The sequence below is a fragment of the Homo sapiens genome, chromosome 3 (genome assembly GCF_000001405.40).
Source record: "Homo sapiens chromosome 3, GRCh38.p14 Primary Assembly".
NCBI lineage: Eukaryota > Metazoa > Chordata > Mammalia > Primates > Hominidae > Homo > Homo sapiens.
In genome coordinates, this window is record NC_000003.12 from 80493273 (window position 1) to 80498149 (window position 4877).

The 4877-nt window shown below is 42.1% G+C and overlaps 1 annotated feature.

Moving 5' to 3' along the window:
• Nucleotides 3914–4454: an enhancer, noted in NCBI's record as "H3K27ac-H3K4me1 hESC enhancer chr3:80546336-80546876 (GRCh37/hg19 assembly coordinates)". NCBI's record gives its function as "activates a minimal SCP1, AML or CMV promoter by ChIP-STARR-seq in primed H9 embryonic stem cells {active_cell/tissue: H9 hESC(primed)}" and the evidence as "EXISTENCE:reporter gene assay evidence [ECO:0000049][PMID:30033119]".

Consider the following 4877-nt stretch of genomic DNA (forward strand, 5'->3'; position numbering starts at 1 on the left):
CCATCCCACTAAAATTCCTACAACCAGTCCAATCAGAGCCCTTCTGTGTGCAAGGTAGCCTCTAATTCTTGAGATCTTGCTTTGCTGCCTGGAAAAGGAATGGGTACCAGGAGCTTCTCTTCTACTTAGAGATATACAACTAAAGTCAAGTAATTTCATCTGTCTGGACTCAAGAGTTCTTGTGTGCATGATACAGGGAATGAGCTGGATTTTCAGTAGAATTGCTTTCCCTTCTGTACATCTGTGCAAGTTCTCTGCAGAGCACCATGAGCAGTGATCAAATAATTGCATTTGAGTTTCTCCTCACCTACATTTATCTTATGTCTTTACTTCTTCTAGGTGTCTTCTCTAGATTTAGGATCTATTTTCTTTCTTAATAGATTACAATCAATATCACAGTGCAAAATACTATTTAAGTTGATGTGGCAAAGTTGTGGAGGGAATTGGAAATACTGAAGAAGGGACTATTTGCATAGTCAGATATAGTTATTTTTAAAAAGTTACTGTTTATCTAATTTAACTTACAATAAACTTATCTCTTGTTTAGACTAAATTAGAGGTTTGGGGCAGTAGGAAAGGTGACAGTACCAAGATTTAATATAAATAACAGAGTAGATTGGGAAACAAAATGTCCACAAATTATTTTTAAAAGAGGAATCATGAGTGGATCAAGCTTGAAGCCATATATAAAATCAACAGTCAATTTGACATTTTAACAATTCACCTGTGGTCTTTTCTCTAGAAATTTCAGTAGGTATGGTGCAGTGAAGTAAAGGCAGCTCAGTGTAGTAGAGTGTTCAGGCTTTAAAATTCAGAAGTGGCCTTCCTCAGATGAAGAATTCAGAGTTTCTTATTTTAGGGCTGCAATAACAAATTATCACACATTGGGTGGCTTAACACACGAGAAAAATATTATCTTACAGTTCTGGAGGTCAGAGTTCCAAATCAAGGCATCATTAGAGCCAAACTCCCTCTAAAGCAGGGGTCCCCAACACTGGGACGTGGACAGGTGGCTGGGTATTGGTCTGTTGCCTATTAGGTACTGGGCCTCACAGAAGGAGGTAAGCAGTGGGCAAGAGAGAATTACCGCCTGAGCTCCACCTCCTGTCAAATCAGCAGGTGCATTAGATTCTCATAGGAGCATGAAGCCTATTGTGAACTGTGCATATGAGGGATCTAGGTTGCACACTCCTTATGATAAGCTAATGCCTGATAATCTGACGTGGAACAGTTTCATCCCCAAGCCCTCCACCCCCAACTTCTTCCAGGAAACCAGTCCCTGGTGACTAAAAGTTTGGGGACCACTGCTCTAAAGGCTTTAGAGGAGAATTCTTCCTTGCTTTTTCTGGTCTTTGGTGGTGCCAATCATTCCTTATCTGGCAGCTGCATAACTCCAACTCTGCCTCCACTTTCACATAACCTTCTCCTTCTCTCTGTGTGTCTCTTCTCCTTTTAAGGACACGTTGGATTTAGGGTCCATGTGGATTATCCAGAATGATTTCCTTTTGAGATTCTTAATTTAATTATATTAACAAAAATTATTTTCCTAAGTAAGCTCACACTCACAAGTTTTGGAGATTAAGACATAGATTTCTTTTTTTTTTTTTTTTTTTGTCTACTGTCTTAGTTTTCTTAGGCTGTCTTAATAAAGTATCACAGGCAAGTGACTTAAGAGAAATGCATTCTGTTATCCTTCTGGAAGCTAGAAATTAGATTGAATTTCTTTGGAAATTAGAGTTGGTTTCTTCAGAGCTCGCTTTCCTTGGCTTTTAAGATGGCTGTTTTCTCCCTGTGTTTTCACATGGTCTTCCCTCATTACCTGTTTCTAAATTTCCTCTTTGTATAAGGATATCAGTCAAATTGGTTTAGGGACAACTCTATTGACCTTATCCCAATTTAATTACTTCTTTAAAGTGTCTGTCTTCTAATACAGTCACATTCGGAAGTAGTGGGTATTAGACCATTAACATATAAATTTGGTGGGAAACACAATTCAAACTGTGATAGTCACCCTCCAAATACAGAGCCTAATTAAAAATCCTCGCTACTTTATTTTATATTGAAATGACTTAGCAGACATTTATGAAGAGCTGAATGAGGATAGGGTAAGAATAATGATATGCTTATGTTGGAGAGATTCTGCAAAGATAGAGTAAGAGATTTAGTGTGATGCAAGCTCTGTCAGAAGAAGAAATCCTCTCTGTGTTGAAACTTAGAGCTGTTTTCATGCATGGTATATTATAGGTGCTCAATAAATACTTGTTGTAGAATGAATGAGAGATGTGCCTCACAAATATTCATGCTTCATAAATAAAAACAACATGCAGGGTATAGCTGAACCTGTTTCCTTATATTCACTATACCAGCAAACTAGCTGGGAGCTGCATAACATAAGAAAAAAGCTACCTGTGTTGATTAGGCAAGAAGTATAAGATATGACACTTTCCAAAGTATATCTTTATATATTTAATTCATCAGCAATCCTTTTGGGTAAGTGCATTCTTTTCTTATGTTACAAATTATTTTAAAATGGCTCACCCAGTAACTTATATTTATGTCAACAGTTTTATAAAGTGAATGCAAATATGGGGTCAATTTCACTGGATATGGAAAGGGAAGAAGAATGAATATGGTTTCCAAATATTTCTTTTATTTCATCATTGTTAGAATTACTTTATAGATTTTCCTTCTCCAAAGAATCCATAGACGTTACCTCTAGAATCTCATACAGAATTTGTTGTGACAGTATCAACAAATAATTTAATATTCTTCCTGTGTCATATATAAGATGAATAAAGTCATAAAGACCAACATTTCCTATAAAAGGGGATACATTGCTATGGAAGTAAGGGTTCACAAAGCTTAACTTACACATATGGAAAAATAATTGCAAGATGATATATTTTGGGAAGAATAAACCAAGACAGGCCTATCTGAATTCCATTTTGAATTAAATGCCAGGATCTCAGTAACAATTGGTCTTATCGACTTCTTTGGATGGACAACTTTCTAAGTATATAGAAAAATCTTTATTTATATATCTGACTAGATATGGTAATTTAATTCCATCAAGTGAAACTTATGAGACATTCTCAAATCATTTCTTCATTTATTGATAATTATTTAATGAGCATTAATAACATGTTTAGAGATGAAATATGTTACAGGGAAATAGATCACTTCCACCTTCACAAGTTGCCCTTTTGTCACAGGATCCTTAGGGTGTTGCTTCACCAGGCAGAAACCTCTGTGGCTGGTGGCACCTATGCTTGTGTTTCACTTGCATGTGCTAAGCTTGTTCTGTCCACTTGGTTGGGCAGGCTGCGCTCAGCTTGTGCTAACTGCTTGGATCCCATGTCTGCAAAGGGTGAGCCAGGCACAGAGTGCCAAGGGGTGTGTGAGTGAGTGAATGTGGGATCCAGCCACTGTGCACACCCTTGTAGGCCAGCTGTGGTGGCATGGGCAGCTCCAGGCACTGGCGCAGGTGCTGGCTCTGTGTGAGGCTGTGGCTGGACCAGATGTAACACAAGCAGCTTCCACTGTGGGCAGCAATGTCCGGACAAGGGGAACATGATGGAACCCAAAAGTTCAGAGACACTAGGAAAAGCAGAGCCCCAGAGGGTGTTACAATGTGTCACAGTCCTGGGTCAGGGCATCCTGAGGTTTGGGCTCCCAGAGGGTAGCAGCTCTTCTCTCCTTGTAGTCCACAAGGTGGCAAGCAGGGGACAAGTTTTAGTCCTGTTTGTGTTACAGCTCTTTCATTTCTGCCATTTGGAGGGTCCCAAGTTCTTGCCTCATATCCAGGAAGAATAAGGTATGCAGACAACTGGAAGATGTGCAAGGCAGAGAGGAGCTGCATTGAGCAGCAGAATAGCTCTCAGGAGACCTGAAGTGGGTGGCTACTTTCCACAGGATGGTCATCCCAAAAGACTGTCCACCTCTCAGCTCAGAGGAAACTTATTCAGAGGAGTAAGTAGCTCCTTTCCCAATTTGTGTGTTAGTCTGGCTGAGTCTGGGGTTTTTATGTGCTCAGAATGAAGATTGTGTGTACTGATTGGTCCATGGGCAGCCATGGGAGGGCCTGAAGAAAGCACCATCTGATTGGCCAAATGGTCATCAATGAAGTCCTGACTCTGAGCTACAGACTTGGCCCAGAACTAGCATCCCAGCCTCCAGGCTTCAGGCTGTCTCTGGCCTGAAGCTGGGGTTTCACTGGGGAGACCTTCTCATTCCTGCCTAGGAACTTGTCTACCTTTAACATGCTTACATGGCACCCAGGCTGTCCATGCCAAGAGGCGCTTGCAGTTCCCTGCTGAGCCACACTCACCACTCCCAGCTCCCCTCCCATGCTCATGTGCTCCTAAAGTCCAGAGGGGTCTGAGGCAGCAGCCGGTGGGTGTATCAGAACCACCCTGAGCATGCACACCCAGCTGGGTTCCAGCAGCATCCAGGCTCAGCCATAACTTTGTTCTGACCCACAGCGGGTGCTGGGAGAGGGTAGAGGCCAGGAAGGGGGAGCAGGCACTTTCACGTATGCAGGGGTTAGGAGCTTCCTGGGCCCCTGACAGTGAAGGGATGCTCAGGTCTGGATCCCAGCTGGGCAACTGCAGCTGTGCCGAGGAGCTCAGGGCTCCCCCTCAGCCAACTCAGTAGGTGGCAGGGCTCTCACCTGTCCCCAGCCCCCATGGGCTCCACAGAGCACACAGGTCCAGCCATGCATCCATCACTGCAGCTGGTGTCCCTGCAACAGCTACTCCAGATGGGCTGCCACCAACATCACTTGTAACCAAGAAATACAGATACTGTTATTCTACTCTAAGAGTGTGCCATATGAAGGCCATTGATTCAGAATTTAATTCATTTTCCTGTGAACAGTT